This window comes from Homo sapiens, chromosome 4 (assembly GCF_000001405.40).
Source record: "Homo sapiens chromosome 4, GRCh38.p14 Primary Assembly".
Lineage (NCBI taxonomy): Eukaryota > Metazoa > Chordata > Mammalia > Primates > Hominidae > Homo > Homo sapiens.
The window spans coordinates 159,305,704-159,322,132 of record NC_000004.12 but is presented as its reverse complement, the minus strand read 5'-3'; the positions used below and the strand labels follow the sequence as shown (position 1 = coordinate 159,322,132).

General features: G+C 35.6%; 1 protein-coding gene across 7 annotated transcripts in view, besides 1 other annotated feature; it reads right to left on the bottom strand.

Moving 5' to 3' along the window:
* RAPGEF2 (Rap guanine nucleotide exchange factor 2) overlaps positions 1 to 16,429 on the bottom strand; it is a 257,095-nt gene that overhangs the window by 38,041 nt on the left and 202,625 nt on the right. For all 7 annotated transcript variants that reach the window (NM_001351724.5, NM_001394067.2, NM_001351726.3 and 4 more), the window contains one exon: positions 7,365 to 7,542. In NM_001351724.5, coding sequence (NP_001338653.1) covers positions 7,365 to 7,542 — 178 coding nt within the window. The remainder of the gene's footprint in view (positions 1 to 7,364; positions 7,543 to 16,429) is intronic.
* Positions 5,922 to 6,216: an enhancer, noted in NCBI's record as "tiled region #9369; HepG2 Activating non-DNase unmatched - State 12:CtcfO". NCBI's record gives its function as "activates a minimal TATA promoter and a strong SV40 promoter by Sharpr-MPRA in HepG2 cells {active_cell/tissue: HepG2}" and the evidence as "EXISTENCE:reporter gene assay evidence [ECO:0000049][PMID:27701403]".

The following is a 16,429-nucleotide window of genomic DNA, read 5'->3' as shown; positions in this document are numbered from 1 at the left end:
GGCAACAGTTTTTATTGTAACTCCAGTTCTAATACCACTAAAGACATTACTAAACTTCAAATGGGAAATTTCTATTGTAAATGAGATATAAGGCTTATTATTATGAGAGTGGAAATGAAAGGTAGCTCTGAGAATTCTCCAACAAGTCAGTTGGTTCATTCCTGTGCCTTTTGGGCAGGTGAATGCCTAAAATAGTCAGCAGAAATAACTATATTTAATTCAAACATTCTAAGGAATATTTTCCATGTATCAAATCCATAAAAAAGATCAATTAAAAAATTAACGACATGATATGATAAATGAAAATGAAAACTGATAACACCATTTTTTAGCCCACAAGTTGGCAAAAAAGGAAGTTTGTTCACTCTTCTTTCCTATGGGAATGCTTTGGAGAAACAGCTTACACTTTGGTAGGGTTCTAGCTGTTGATGTCACAGTCTCTTCAAGTACTGGGTTTTCTATTTTTAAAAGTCCTGTGTTTTCTTATCATTCAGTAGCTTTACTAATTACACACTAAGTTCTTTCCTTACTCCTCACCATGGCTCTGTGAAGTGCGTTTTCTTTTTCATTTCATAGGGAGGAAACCAAGGCTCAGCATCAGCATCATATAATTAAGAGATGGCAAGACCAGGCGCAGTGGCTCGTGCCTGTAATCCTAACATTTTGGAAGGCTGAGGCAGGAGGATTGCTTGAGGCCAGGAGTTTAAGATCAGCCTGAGCAATGTGGCAAGACCCTATCTCTACAAAATATTTTAAAAATTAGCCATCTGTGGTGGTGCGTACCTATAGTCCTAGCTACTCAGGAGGCTGAGGTGGGAGGATTGCTTGAGCCCAAGAGTTTGAGGTTATAATGAACTGTGATTGTGACAATGTACTCCATAATGGGTGAAAGAGTGAGACTCTGTCTCTTAAAAAAAAAAAAAAAAAAGTGGCAGTGACATGATTCAAGACCATCTGCTTCCAAAGATCATGCTGGACTTTAAAGGGAGTGGTAAAGAGCACAGGGTGTATGTACATCAGATGTTTAAATGCTTACTAGCTGTATTACTTTGGGCAAGGTGATTAACTTCCCTAAGTCATAGTTTTCTCACTTAAAAAGAAAAATACAATATCTGCTTTACTGGATAGCTGTGAGAATAAAATGCAATAAAGATGATAAAAGTCCGTGGCACAGAGTAAATACTCAATAAATGAGAACTGCTATTATTGTCATTATTATAATAGTCATGACATCATTCAAACTTTTGGCTAAATAAAAATCATACTAGATGTTTCTTGTACATAATCAAACATTCCCTATATACATTCCTTTTATCTGTTAAGATTTAGTGACAAATTTTATGTTCTTGGATATAGTTTATTAACTGCTAAAACAAAGCACAACAGAAAAATATATTCTGTGAATATATTTTCCCAGATACAACATTTCTGGAAGGACAGACGGAGTGGTTTTCTCTGGCCCAGTTGGGCAATGGCATGTTCTGATTGGACTCTATGTCATCCCTCCTATATAAGACTTTTCATTACACAGGGGGGCTCTGGCAATAAGGAAAATGATAATGATAGGTGTACCCAAAGATTCTGTCCAATAGGACAGTGTTGCACAAACTGACTCAGATTTATGTGTCAGGAAATCACTTTACTTTTGCTACCAGTATTTTTTAAAAAATAAGTTAAACTATCAAAGCACATCAGTTATAGAAAGAATACGTTCTGTTTCATGAAACTTTTATTTCTGGAATGAGTAGGAGTGTCTGTGCTGTACCATAAAATGTATTTATTCCTGGAGAAGCAGTAAAGCAATTCTGAACACCATTGCAAGAGATGACCCATATCTATCATATATGGGAGGCAGGAATCATTGTTTTACCAATGCATTGACCTTTTGATTTGCATTATAAAGGCAAATGAACAAGTCATGGTCCTCTGAAGCACATCCCAGTTAATTCTGCAGCTTCCAGCCTCTGTTTTCTTTAGCCATCATCCCTCACGCCTCACCATAAACTATGATACTATTACCTATAGACCATGCATTTTACTTTTTTCCACCCCTTGTAGTTGCTAAATTTCTTTGGACAAGCAAAGATTCATGGGTTTAAGAAAAATGTGGGCCAGAAATTGTCAGAAATGTTTTGAATTTAGTATCTGTTTAGACAATAATAGAAGTCAAATAATTACCACATACATGATCAGAGAATAAAAAGTGGGAAGAAAATACAAAGTACCTTCACAAGTATTTGTTGTAATAATTTTAAAGTGCTTCGTGTAGACATATTGCGTGCTTTTTGGCAGACTCTTAATCTATTAGTGGGTCATGAGTTTAATTTGTGATATATAAGTAGCGGCTAGCATTAAAAAAAAAACCACAGGATAGAAGATACCTGCATATCATATATTGTAAGAATAAAGGAGACAGAAAGATCAAATAGTAGATGTACATAATTATCCAGGCTCAGCTGAAAAACCAGAAATACATAAATGCTAAACCAGATGGCATCTAAGATTTCATTTTAAGATTTCAAGGATTCAATAATGGTATCACTGGTTTTTAGATAATTTCTATGCTATATTATACTAGATGATTGGAGCAATTTTTAAAAATAAAGAACTATTTTATAACCAATCATATATATATATGGCAGCAGTCTCCAACCTTTTTGGCACCAGGGGCAGGTTTCGTGAAAGACAATTTTTCCACTCTTGGTGGGTGCGGGGGGATAGTTTTGGGATGAAACTGTTCTGCCTCAGATCATCAAGCATTACAGTCTCATAGGGAGTGCACAACTTAGAACCCTTGCATATGCAGTTCACAGTAGGGTTTGCACTCTTATGAAACTAATGCTGCCACTGATTTGACAGGAGGTGGAGCTCAGGTGGTAATGCTCCCTCACCTTTCACTCGCCTCCTGCTGTGCGGCCTAGTTCCTAACAGGTCAGGGACCAGTACCAGTCTGTGGCCCAGGGGTGGAGACTCCTGCTACAGGGGGCTCAAAACTCTGACAATGCCATAGGTATCATACAGACTTAAAAGGGCTTAGGATAGCCAAGAATTCAGAGCCTGGGATGGATACTAGGAAAATCCTCAGGACAAAGGAAAAGAAGCCACGGATGGGAGAAACAGGACAATTTTCTTTTGTATTTCTTAGAACAATCTATAGAATTATACACTTACCTATTAGAATGATACACTATTATGACCTATCTAACGTTTATGGAAAAATATTAAGCTTTAAAAACATTTTATTTACAATGTACCATTATAAAAAAACCCAAATAATTAACTTATAGATACCAGAAGCCGAAGCCAATTCAGAAAATTAGCTTATCCTGGTTTGCTTGATACAATTTTATATAAGAAATGTTTTATTAATTTTTTTTAAAAACCCGGGGCTTGTTAAAAGAGATCAAAGTAGTCTTCTACTTTACTGTGTCAAACTCTCAAAACAAAAAAAATTTTTTAAAACTATTCAATAATGGAGTACCTACAAAGTTATGAGTTCCAGGGTAAAAATTAATATGATAAAGTCCCTTCCTTCAAAGTACTGAAACAAAACTATACCCAAGAAATCTATCAGAACCCAAAGGGAATTTTTTTCTTCCTGCAGCTCGCAAAAATATGTTCAAATATTAGCAATTTCATTTGATTCACCTTAAACACTCATGCACACACTCACATGCATGCACGTGGACATAATCTGTCCCTTTTTTGCAGGGGAAGAGGACGTTGGGTAGGAAAAGAGGCATCTAGAGAAAACATCAATCATACAGATGTTTGTATTTTATATAAAGGTTGTCTATTTTAACTAAATCCTGGAGGATGAGTTGCATTTAACAAGAGCTAAACAGTTCTCACACATATTTTATTTTCAGGGAAATAGAATACAAAATCTTTCAAGGTCTTACATAGAACAAACAACACCCTTTAGGACTTGTTTAATGTTAGTGATTTATTGCTTTAAATAAATGTATCTTTGATAGCTGCAAACATGATAATTGTCATTGCTTGCAAGTAAACTGGTATTCAAATAAATGCTACTCCCTGTAGCAATTATATTGACAAGCACTTTTTTTTTTTTAAAGATGGCTTTTTATTTATTTGTAGGAATCATTATGGCTGCTGCTTTCTAGAGATTCTGGGAAAGAGGGTTTCTCAGCTATCAACTGAAAGTCTTAAATTTCCAAGAATGACAGACATGTATTTTAATAATCAGCATTTTCTTCACAACTATTTTAAAATGAACAGATTCAAAAAAGATATATTAGATTACAAAATGGTAACTTCCAAATCAATCTATTCATAGGCAACGTTTCACCAATTTTTTTTTTTAAAGCACCTATGAGTAAAGATTCTGAATTGAAATGGTAAACTGAACACACTTCCAATTTACTTCTTTAAAACTACAGGGGATTAAAAAGAAAGAAATTGGCAAGGGCAAAGAATGAGAACGTGAAATGCAATTTTGGACACTGGAAATCAGCTGAACATGTGGTATTGGACCCAAGAAAGTGAACAGGGAATTGGAGAGTGAAACCCGTTTTTAGAAATTGTAAATCAGATCAACACGCGATATCAGAAACAGGAAAAGTACAAACCTAAGTCTTCAGGGGGTGAAACAGAACCATTCCACTCAGGCCACTCCCCTGCTTCCATCAGCCCAGCCTCTACTTTACTCTTCTTCACTGCACTCACTGCCTGCAATAGGTTTATTTGTTCACTTGCTGATCACGCGTCTCCCCTAATAGACTGCAACAGAACAAGGACTTTTGCCCTTGTTCAGCACTGAGTGAGTTGCCAGGACTTAGAAAACTGCTTGGTACATAGAAGGTGCTCACCCACATTAGCTGAATGAATAAATAATAATTACCATACAATATTCATCTATAAAGAGTTAGCAATTCCCATAAATTACTTCAATTAAATGTTGAATGTCTAATCTAAGGTTTTGGTTTTTTTTTGCCTTTAATTTCCTAGAATATGTATATAGCTGAAATGGTGAAAGTTTTTCCTCATACATGTTTGTGTCACTCAAACTCATGTAACAAGCCACTCCACACCATCCTTTATCAATTCCAACAGATTCAGTTCATTTAATTGCCCTTCAAATATGTATTGGCCCAAGAGTTGGGGGAGTGGTACAACAGACAAGCAAGGCTCAGGCAAGGGTGGCTATGGACCCTGGAAATCTCGTGGAAGGATGACTCTCAACGGAAGTTGCTCTCATTTCCAGTGTTCGAAGAAACAAGGCAGAGTCTGGGAGGCATACTCAAATCCAAAACAATTACTACACAACCAACTCTTGCTATGATGGAAAGGTGGATATAAAGCTACTTAAATTTTTAACCTCTGGGTACACTTAAAGTCATTGCAGCACAATTCATAACAGCAAAGACATGGAATCAACCTAAATTCCCATCAATGATAGAATGGATAAAGAAAATGTGGTAAATATACACCATGGAATACAATACAGCCATAAAAAGAACAAGATCATGTCCTTTGCAGGGACATGGATGGAGTTGGAGGCCATTATCCTTAGCAAACTAACAGAGGAACAGAAAACCAAATACTACATGTTTTTACCTGTAAGTGGGAGCTAAATGATGAGAACACATGAACACACAGAGGGGAACAACACACACTGGGGCCTTTCGGAAGGTTAGAGGGTGGGAGGAGGTGGAAGTTCAGGAAAAATTACCAATGGGTACTGTGGGCAGCAAGCCACCCAGGTGCCGAGGCAAGAGACCGAGGACATGAGCTGTTCCAGTATAATAAAATATAAAACAAGAATAGTTATACTAGATCTAGGTTATAGACATGATTATATATAAAATCATTAATCATTAGTTAGTAGTACTTACTCTTTATTCCAATATTATAATAATCCTCGTTCTATAATCATAACCTAGGAAAAACCAGGCCATACAGAGATAGGAGCTGAGGGGACATAGTGAGGAGTGACCAGAAGACAAGAGTGCGAGCCTTCTGTTACGCCCAGACAGGGCCACCAGAGGGCTCCTTGGTCTAGCAGTAACGTCAGCATCTGGGAAGATGCCCGTTGCCAGGCGGACCATGGTCTAGCGGTAGCCTCAGTGTCATGGAAAAACACCGGCTACTTAGCAGACCGGGAAAGGGAGTCTCCCTTCCCCAGGGGGAGTTTAGAGAAGACTCTGCTCCTCCACCTCTTGTGGAGGGCCTGACATTAGTCAGGCTCGCCCGCAGTTATCCGGAGGCCTAACCATCTCCCTGTGATCCTGTGCTTCAGTGGTCACGCTCCTAGTCCGTCTTCATGTTCCATCCTGTACACCTGGCTCTGCCTTCTAGATCGCAGCAGTAAATTAGTGAAAGTACTAAAAGTCTCTGATATGCAGAAATAATGGCATTAGCTGTCTTTCTCTTTGTCTCCTCTCTCTCTCTGCCTCGGCTGCTAGGCAGGGAAGGGCCCCCTGTCCAGTGGACACGTGACCCAAGTGGCCTTACCTATCATTGGAGATGACTCACACTCCTTATCCTGCCCCTTTGTTTTGTATCCAATAAATACCAGTGCAGCCTGGCATTCGGGGCCACTACCGGTTTCCGCAACTTGGTGGTAGTGGTCCCCGGGCCTAAATGCCTTTTCTTTTATCTCTTTGTCTTGTGTCTTTATTTCTACACTCTCTCGTCTCTGCACATGGGGAGAGACCCACCGACCCTGTGGGGCTGGTCCCTACAGGGTACTAGGCTTAAAACCTGGGTGATGAAATAATCTATACAACAAACCCCCATGACACAGGTTTTCCTATGTAACAGACCTGCACTTGTACTCCTGAACATAAAATAAAAATTAAAAAAAAAAAAGGACAAAAACAGCAAAAGAAAGACAGAAAAAAAGTCTCAACCATCACACAGCCTATATGCCACTAACCTGACATTTTGCTGTCTCCTTCCACCCACTTGCGTCTTCACACAAAACCAGAGTAGAAGCAAATCACTGTGACAATTTTACCAACTGCCTTTATGTTTACATACAGAAAACATGAGCTTAATAAAAACAGTGCTCACGAGAAAATTAATAGAAGTAATACTGCTTGAAAGGCTCATTTTAACTTTTTTTTTTTTTGTCATAAACTAAGCTTAAGAAAGGGTTTATGTGGAAAGGGTTTACTAAGAAGTTTCATTCACATTATTATTTGTAGACTCCTGAAGGTAAGACTGAGTAAACCTGATTTTTTCCAATTTTTGTCCAACAAATACTACTGTTTATACAAAGGAAATTAATAAATTAATGAGTTTTTAAAGCCTACTAGTCTTGGGCTCTATTTCATCAGACAATTTTGCCACTAAATCTTTTTAATTGCTCGTAGATTCATTTTCCTGTTCAAGCTTACCAATGTCATCATCTGTCCGGTCAATTGGGTCCTTCTCTAGGCAGTCTCTCACAATGTCCCTGCTCATCAGAGGATCTGATGCTCTCTCAATGTCTTCTTCATCGTCGTCGTCTTCGGAATCCACTGCTGTTTCTGGCAACCCACTCAGGTCCATATCACCAGCCTCGCTTTCTGTGGCCTTAAGACACACACACAAAAATTAAAAACTATTTTAAGTAAATAAATCTTTGGGGCCCAAAGAAACAAGAGCAAGCCTCATTCAAAATAATGCTTGTTATATTTATTTTTCCATCCAACAACTATGTATGCACCAGAAACTACATGTAACAATTACTTTAACAAAATATGAGTGATTCCACCTCCTATTAAATTTTTGGTCAGGAATAACGACTTTATCTCAGTAATTTTGATTTCTTATCCTAGCTGTCATATGGCATTTGAAACATAGTAGAATAAAGAAGAAAAAGTATTTGTTTTCACTCCATTCTTCAAAGAGAATGGCTTAGGCTAACAGCTTAAGGGTGACAATTCTGAGCAATTCCTTTTGCAGAATAGGTGTGAATTTATTAATGCCAAGAAGCCTGGACCATTTTACCCCAATTAGACAGTCCTTATGGAAAAATGAGCCACAAATCAAAGGTAACTTGATAAATATGCAAACGAAACATTAACAATTAGTTGGATTATCCCAATGACCACTGTTAAACTATAAATCGAGAAACACTATAGGAGACCATACGCGTAAAGGCAACATACTCTTTCTTCCCATTCATCAACACAGGTAATCACATCACTAAACTTCAAGTTATCAAGATACCTGCAAATTTTCTAAGTCACTGGAGTCACACATTTCAAGATGGCCTCTTTTGTTGAACTAGCTCAATCCTAGAACAGTTATCCTTTCTAGGTCACCATGTAGCCTTTTGTGACTATCATCTCAGCAATATGTATGTATATATCATACAGATCTTATTTGACATTATATACCTAGACTTCAATTATCACTTAAGCATAGTAAAAATGAATTCAATTAAATATTAACTACATCAATCTTGAACAGAAGTGTTTTTCCAAATGAAATATTAAAATCTTGAAAACATCTTATACAATTATTAATTTTGTAGAAAACGTATATTACAAAGTTCAACTTCAAATCATAGCCCATACGATTCTCAAAGATAATAAATACCTTTTTTAAGAAAAAAATATTTTTTAAAAGAAAGATAAAAATATAAAATACTGACTTTGATAATAATAATAAGGTAACACTAAATACTTACAATGTGTCAGGTACTGCTCTAATTGCTATGTATTTATTAACTCATCTAATCCTTAAAACAACCCTATAAAGTAAAAGCCATTATTAACTTTTATTATTCTCTTAACACTTAGGTGAAGAGAAATAATTTTTCCAAGGTCATGCTGCTGATAAACTGTGGAATCAAGACTACAACCCAGGAATTCTGGCTTCAGAGTCTTAATCGCAATCTAATCTGTCTCTTTTTAAACATTCACTGAATATGAATGTGGCTTATATAAGGATCTATCCTTTTCCTATAATTTAATATTTACAGAATAAATTGTGCTATTTTCTTTTTCTTTCTTTCTTTTTGTTTTTTTTGAGACAGAGTCTTGCTCTGTTGCCCAGGCTGGAGTGCAATGGCACGATCTCGGCTCACTGCAACCTCTGCCTCCCAGGTTCATGCGATTCTCATGCCTCAGCCTCCCGAGTAGCTGGGACTACAGGTGTGCACCACCACACCCAGCTAATTTTTGTACTCTTAGTAGAGACGGGATTTCATCATGTTGGCTTGGCCAGTCTTGAACTCCTGGCCTCAAGTGATCTGCCCACCTCAGCCTACCAAAGTGCTGTGATTACAGGCATGAGCCACCACGCCCAGCCTGTGCTATTTTCTTATAAACAAAGTTTCAGCTTTGTAAAGTCCCGGTTCATATCACAGAACATAAGATTTAATCCTACATTTTGAAATAATACAAGCATGTGTTAACAATGAGTTTTATCACATTTTCTGCTCTTTAGGTACAATTTCCTGAACTAAAATGCATATATTATTTAAAAAAGAAACTTAAGGGGAAAATAATTGAAGACAGAAAACCTAATGTTTATGAAAGTTCAATGGCCTGGTCATTATAAGCAGAGATACTGCAGGCAGGAGAGTAATAAGCCACTGCAGCCCATACAGACAGAACTGTGACACACTCAGAAACACATCTCATAATTTAAACTCAAAATTAACTGAATCATTGCTAGATTTAAGAAGGAAACTGAAGTAGAACTTGATGTGATATAGTATGCCAAGGTTGTGGTTAGAGAAAATAGGTCAACATTGTTATCAGCACCTGACCCTGAAGTCTAGAAATACAATTTGCTAATGCTTGCTATGATCACATTTTTACCTCAGTTTCATCTTCACATTGAAGACTATTTATTACTCATCACCTTATATTTTCAAAAATATTATCAGTTCTCTATATAAACATTCTTTAATATTAGCATAGAGTGAAGAAAGGACACTACCAAAGACAGAAATTTTAAAAATATTTTCAATAATTTATATAGCTAATGGTTTTTCTTTAATTTTAAAACATCTAATGTATGCAAAAAGATGGAATATATTTTATACCATCCCAAAGAAATAATTATCGTTTAAATTATTTATATTTAAGGCTTAAGCAGAACATAAAGACTTTCAACTGTCAACTGGATTTATCTCTCCCAAACTGAACCTTCCACTTTATTTAAAAGATCACAGTTGCTTGCTATCTCTATGTGCATTCCATGCTTTAAGAAACAAACTATTCATAAAATAACATTTACTAAACCAAAAATTTAGAGATTATTATTTAGAATAAATAACCATTTTACCTTAAAATACTACAGATTCTCTAAATCATACTCTTTAAAAGAACGTGATAAACAACTTTTCAGGGACCTACTAATTTCATAATACCACTGCCTTGTGGACAAGATGTTTAGAGATTAAGTGGAGTTAAAAGTTTAAGGAACACAAACTGGTCTCCAGGAGGAGTACTAAACTTAAGAAGAGTACCTAGAATGTAGTATTTACTGTGTGAACAAACTCAGTTTTGTGGCTCCAAATCTCACCTCTACTATTCATGATGTGATTTTAGCAAAGTCACTTAACCTCCACAAGCCCATCTTATCATCGATGTAAACTGTAGATACAACTTCTTACTATTCATAGGACTGCTTTTGGATCAAATAAGGGAGAAAGCAAGCCAGTCTCAAGCTAGATCAAAAGTCCCTTCCTCAAGGGGATACTTTCTTCATCTTAGAACTTGTACACCTTCTACCTCTCCCCATAGCAGCAATGAACGCTGCACGCAATTTATATTTGTGGAATTTGACCAAAAAACCCCACAAAATTCTGTTAAACACCACACTCTCCTTATATATTTGTAAAATAGTATCTTAGACTAACTGCACAAATACATTCTGGTCAACTGGTTCATACACCAATTATAAAAATAGTGATCCTATATTGAATGACTATCATATGTGTCTAGCACTAAAGTTGATGTTTTAAAACATAATAATCTTCATATCAATTCAGCAAGTTAGTATTACTAACCCTAGTTTACAGAGGAGAAAATGTCAAGGACATTAAATAAGTTGTTCAATGTAAGCAAAACAAAACACAGTAACTGTGCTAGGACTCAAAATCAGGTGTGACCAACCAAGAAATACTAAGTACTCTGCACTTTGCTCGACATTCTCAATAGTCTTATAAAAAAAAATTGAAATATAATACAGTAATAAAATGTTTTCCACTTTGCTAAGTCATAAAAGATAAAAAGTTTAAATACATATTTGCCTATGAACATAACACTTATTGTTTTCTAGCTTCCTCCAAATAACAACACTACTAAGACTCACGCATGTCTTTAAACCCTTTTTTTCTAAATAAAGACACTAAAACAGACGCTTTATATTTAAAAGCTTATCTGGATATATTTGTTTCAGGAACAAGGAGAAAGGTTTACATAGTTATGTTAGCCAAATAACTCCTGTCTTAAATTAATTTATCTTATACAGGTACTGACTAACATAGATTTTGTTGTCCATTAATATTTAAATAGTGATATTCTTTTAAAAACAATATTCTCAGATCAATGCTGAAAGCTCCACTATTTAAATCAAAAGGGACTAAATACATTCTGCTATTGTGAACACAGTTCTTAAAACCAATTTATTTTACATTTTTTAAAAAAAATCAAGAAAATTCACAAACAAAAAAATTTTTATGCCATAAAGCTCTACTGAAGTATTAATTTAACTAAAATAAAAATCAAATACTGCATGTTTTATCAGTAAGCACTTTAAAATCACTTGCCAAAAAAGTTTTGCTTATTAAAAGCATATATATGCCTAAAAGAGAAGAACAATTTTTTAAAGCTCTTAATGTAAATCGTTAGGTTGCTTCCCCAAAATTACAATCCTACGAGGAGTATATAAAAATGTCTATAAATGCTTATTTTAAGTAAGAAAATCTGTGCTAATTTGATAGGCAGAATAATTTCATATTTAAGTCCTTATATGCTCAATTACTATTATGTTTCAAATACTTAAGGTGTAGACATTTGCATTTTCGTTTCTGTAAGTTACCAACTACTGTCCTTTGAACATTTTAACATTGTGAGCTGAGTATTTTTCTTATTTGTGTAAATCAGTTATATTCTGACTTTAAATCTTCTTATCAATTGATGTTCTAATTACAAAATGTTTTGATCCTTTATTAAAACATTGTTTGCTAACTCTTTAGTTTATCAGGAATTTATTTTAATTATGATACAAAATAAGAATACAAAATGATTCCCCAACCCCAAAGACCATTTATTGAATGATCCATCACTTTCTTTATTGATTTGTGAAGTTTCCTCTATTACATATTACATCCTTACACATGAGTTCAATTTTGCTTGAACTCTCTGTTCTATTGATCTATCTATTTTGTACAACTATTTCCGGTTTGCCTAAGCCACTCGCTCTGATCCTGATGGCCATACCATTTAACCAGGACCTTATCATGGCTGGAAATGGCATTGTCTCGTATTACTAACTTAGGCATTAAAGCTTTCAATCACCAACAACCTTCTATTCTTTCAACCTGCCCCCATCTGCTTCTAAGGTAACCCTTTTTCAACTTAAGAAGGATCTTCACTCAAGACTCTACTACCTTCTGTGTCTAGTGTTCACACCTGTCTTCCTTTCATATCCAGCTTATATTCCCTAGTCTATTATTTCAATTACATTCATTCAACACATCTTTACTGAATGCCTAAAATTTCCTGGCACTGTGCTAGGCTCTAGGGGAAAAAATAGAGACAAGAGAGACAAGTTCCCTGCCTTCTTGAAGGTGTCATTCTTCTAGGCAGAGAGATAACATAAAAATTAATAATTGGTTCAATTGGCGTCTAGGAAGGAAATAAAAAGATTAGGCAGGAAAGGAATCAAAATGGAGGACTTCCTTTACAGAGGATTATAAAGGAACAACTCTGAGGAGATGACACTTGAAAACAAAGGCTGAAAAGGATCAAGCTAGGAGAAAACATTCCAGGCAGAAGGCATACAAAAGCTATGATCTGCAGTTAGAAAACGCTTGCCTTGTTGCTCGACCTGTCTTTGTATTACACTCACTTAACAAACTTCAGTCCTGGGTGAAGTCAAATCCTTGCTTTCTTTGTGCTTACTGTGGAGAAAGCTACTTAACAGAGCAGAGGGAAATCACTTTATATTTGAGGGCACTAACTCAATTGAATCTCCATTTCTCTGGTCAATTTGTTCTCCTACTCTCTGCAACTATTATTTCAAAACTTCTCTCTCCTTAAAACTCTCTACCTGCCAACCCTCTCACTCTCAACAAATGAACTCAACTCTTCCGAGAGAAAACAGAAGTCTAAGACAGGAACTCCCACAACTCCCAAACTCCCCAGGATGTGTTCCTGTTAAAACAGAAGAATGTTTCTTCTCTTAAGGTTAGTAATTAAGAATGACTAAGAATTCACTCATGAATTCCTCTCTTCCCACCATCTCAGCAACATTATTCTATCCATATCTCCCTGGTGTACAGCATCTAAATTCAATCTCTCTGTGTCCATCTTGTGAGCATTTATTCTCACTTCAATGTGACAGGAGACCTCTGAAATCAGAACTGTATGAAGATCAAATAGGCTTCTAGGGGAGAAAGTTGCTCACCCTTGGAATTGTTCAAGAATAAACTGGATGCTTGATTCACAGGAGAGAAGCAGAGGATTCAAATGCAAATTTGGAAGTTGAACCAGATGCATGTCAGACTTCTCATTTTAAGTTCAGATTCAAAGACAACAGAAGTGGTCTACTGAAAATCTCTACTAAATGTTAAGTTTTGCACAGCCAATAACTAGATCCTTAGATACATCTATGGATTTTTCCTTATGATGGATATATACTTACAGGCTATCTGCCTGTCATCAAATTTGAAACAAATAGCTTTGACACTTAAGCAACTGAAATGATGCACAGGGATCCTCTTCTTCATCTACACCCAAAGATAAAGCCAGATAGCAGGCTGTAAGCTCCAACTATGTTAGAGCAATTAGGAACTCTCATCCACACTCTGGTTTCACAGACAATCAGATGATAACCAGGGGCAGAAGTACCATCTGCATTTCCTCATGTACTTATCTAGCCTATTCAAGGTAAAAGCACATATGACTAGAATTCCCCTCAGAATATGCCTCAATCGATTATACAAACAAGTTACTTTTTTGTTTTTTGAGACGGAGTCTTGCTCTGCCCCATAGGCTGGAGTGCAGTGGGGAGATCTTGGATCACTGCTCTGACAACTTCTGGGGCTCAAGAGATTCTCGTGCCTCAGCCTCCCGAGTAGCTGGGACTATAGGCATGCACCACTACACCTGGCTAATTTTTGTATTTTAGTAGAGATGGGGTTTCACCATGTTGGCCAGGCTGGTCTTAGATTCCTGGCCTCAAGTGATCTGCCTGCCTTGGCCCCCCAAAATGCTGGGATTACAGGCATGAGCCACTGCACCTGGTCAAACAAGTTACTTCATTATCTTAATAGATTTACCTTTTAGGAGTTTCATCCAAGTTTGTATTTATTTGATGAGAACAGTGATAATTGTAACCTCAAGCTGTATTCTCACTATAGATTTTCAAGATGTATAATAATAATCTCAAAGTTTAGAGGATGAAGGCTCTGCCATAATATTTCAATTAATATAAACTAAAATACAACTTTTATGTATACTGTTCATTGTTTTACACAAGGGAACTCTTCGATAAATGTTTAGAAAAATCAACTTTCAGAATAAATGGTGTGTTTGTGTGTATGTGATGAGGAGGTAAACTGAGAAAAGTATATAACTAGTATACTATCTCTTTAAAAGAAAATTATTTTTCAAGATCTACTAAATTTAGGACCTAAATGAATATGTCTTGTATTGATGGTATTCTTAATTGTTCACTAACTTTCAATAATTAAAAAAATAAAAACAGCACTGACTAAATACAACAATGATCCTTCATAACTATATTGTCTCTAAAGAAAGTTATTTTTACGGTTATTTCATGCCACAGTTCCTAATAAGCCAAGAGTTATTCTTTGTAAAGTAAGAATAATGTTATTTTGCTTGAAACCATATACAATCCAATAGTAACATAATGTATTTGAAGGCCAAATAAGGATATTTGTGTATATTTCAGTCTCTTTTCCTAAATTTGCACATTCAAAGCTAATAAAATGTTTCTTAACAATTAGAATTATTTTATTTTAAAAACAGTTTTGAATCCCATAGCTCTGGCTTATTTTCTATCCTTCAGTATCATAAAAATTTATTTTAAGCAGATACTAAATCTAATAATTTTTTAAAAACACAAGGAAGCTAATTCAATGATCCAGTCTTATTAGGCCCTTCCTTTTGTCACACTCAGTATGGACTTTAATAAGAAAAACTTGTAATATAAGACAAACCTACAGCTTACTGAACAGGGAAAAGTTGAAAGCATTCCCCATAAGAACTGTAACAAGGATGCCCACTTTCCCACTCCTATTCAAAATAGTATTCTAAGTCCTAGCCAGAGCAATTAGGCAAGAGAATGAAATAAAAGGCACCCAAACTGGAAAAGTGGAAGTGAAATTATCCCTGTTCACTGATGGAATGATCTCATTATATATAGAAACCCCTAAAGACTCCATCAAAAAATTGTTAGATTTGATAAAAGAATTCAGGGAAGTTTCAGAATGCAAAATCAATATGCACAAATCAGTAGCATTTCTATACAACAATAACAATCTAGCTGAGAACAAAATCAAGAAAGCAATCTCATTTGCAATAGCTACAGAAAAAACAAAATACCTAGAATATATTCGACCAAGGAGGTGAAAGAGCTTTACAAGGAAAACTATAATAAACACTGATGAAAGAAATTGTAGATGACACAAACAATGAGAAAACATCCCATGCTCATGGATTGAAAGAATTAATATCATTAAAATGACCATACTGCCTAAAGCAATATACAGATTGAATGTAATTCCTATCAAAATCCCAGCATCATTTTTCACAGAATTAGAAAAAAAAAATCCTAAAGTTCATACGTAATCACAAAAGAGCCTGAATAGTGAAAGCAATCTTGAGCAGAAAGAACAAATTATACTACAAGGTTATAATAACTAAAACAGCATGATACTGGTATTAAAATAGGTACATAGATCAATGGAACAAAATAAAGAACCCAGAAATAAAGTCACGTATTTACAGCCAACCGATCTTTGACAAAGCCAAGAAGAACATATACTGGGGAAAAGCCACCCTTTTCGATAAATGGTGCTGGGAAAATTGGATTACCATATAATGAAACTGGACCCCTATCTTTCAGCATAAATAAAAATCGACTCAAAACAGATTGAAGACTTAAGACCCAAAGCTATAAAAATATTAGAAGACAATCTAGGGAAAATTCTTTTGGACACTGGTCTACGCAAATAATTCAGGAGTAAGACCTCAAAAGCACAGGCAAC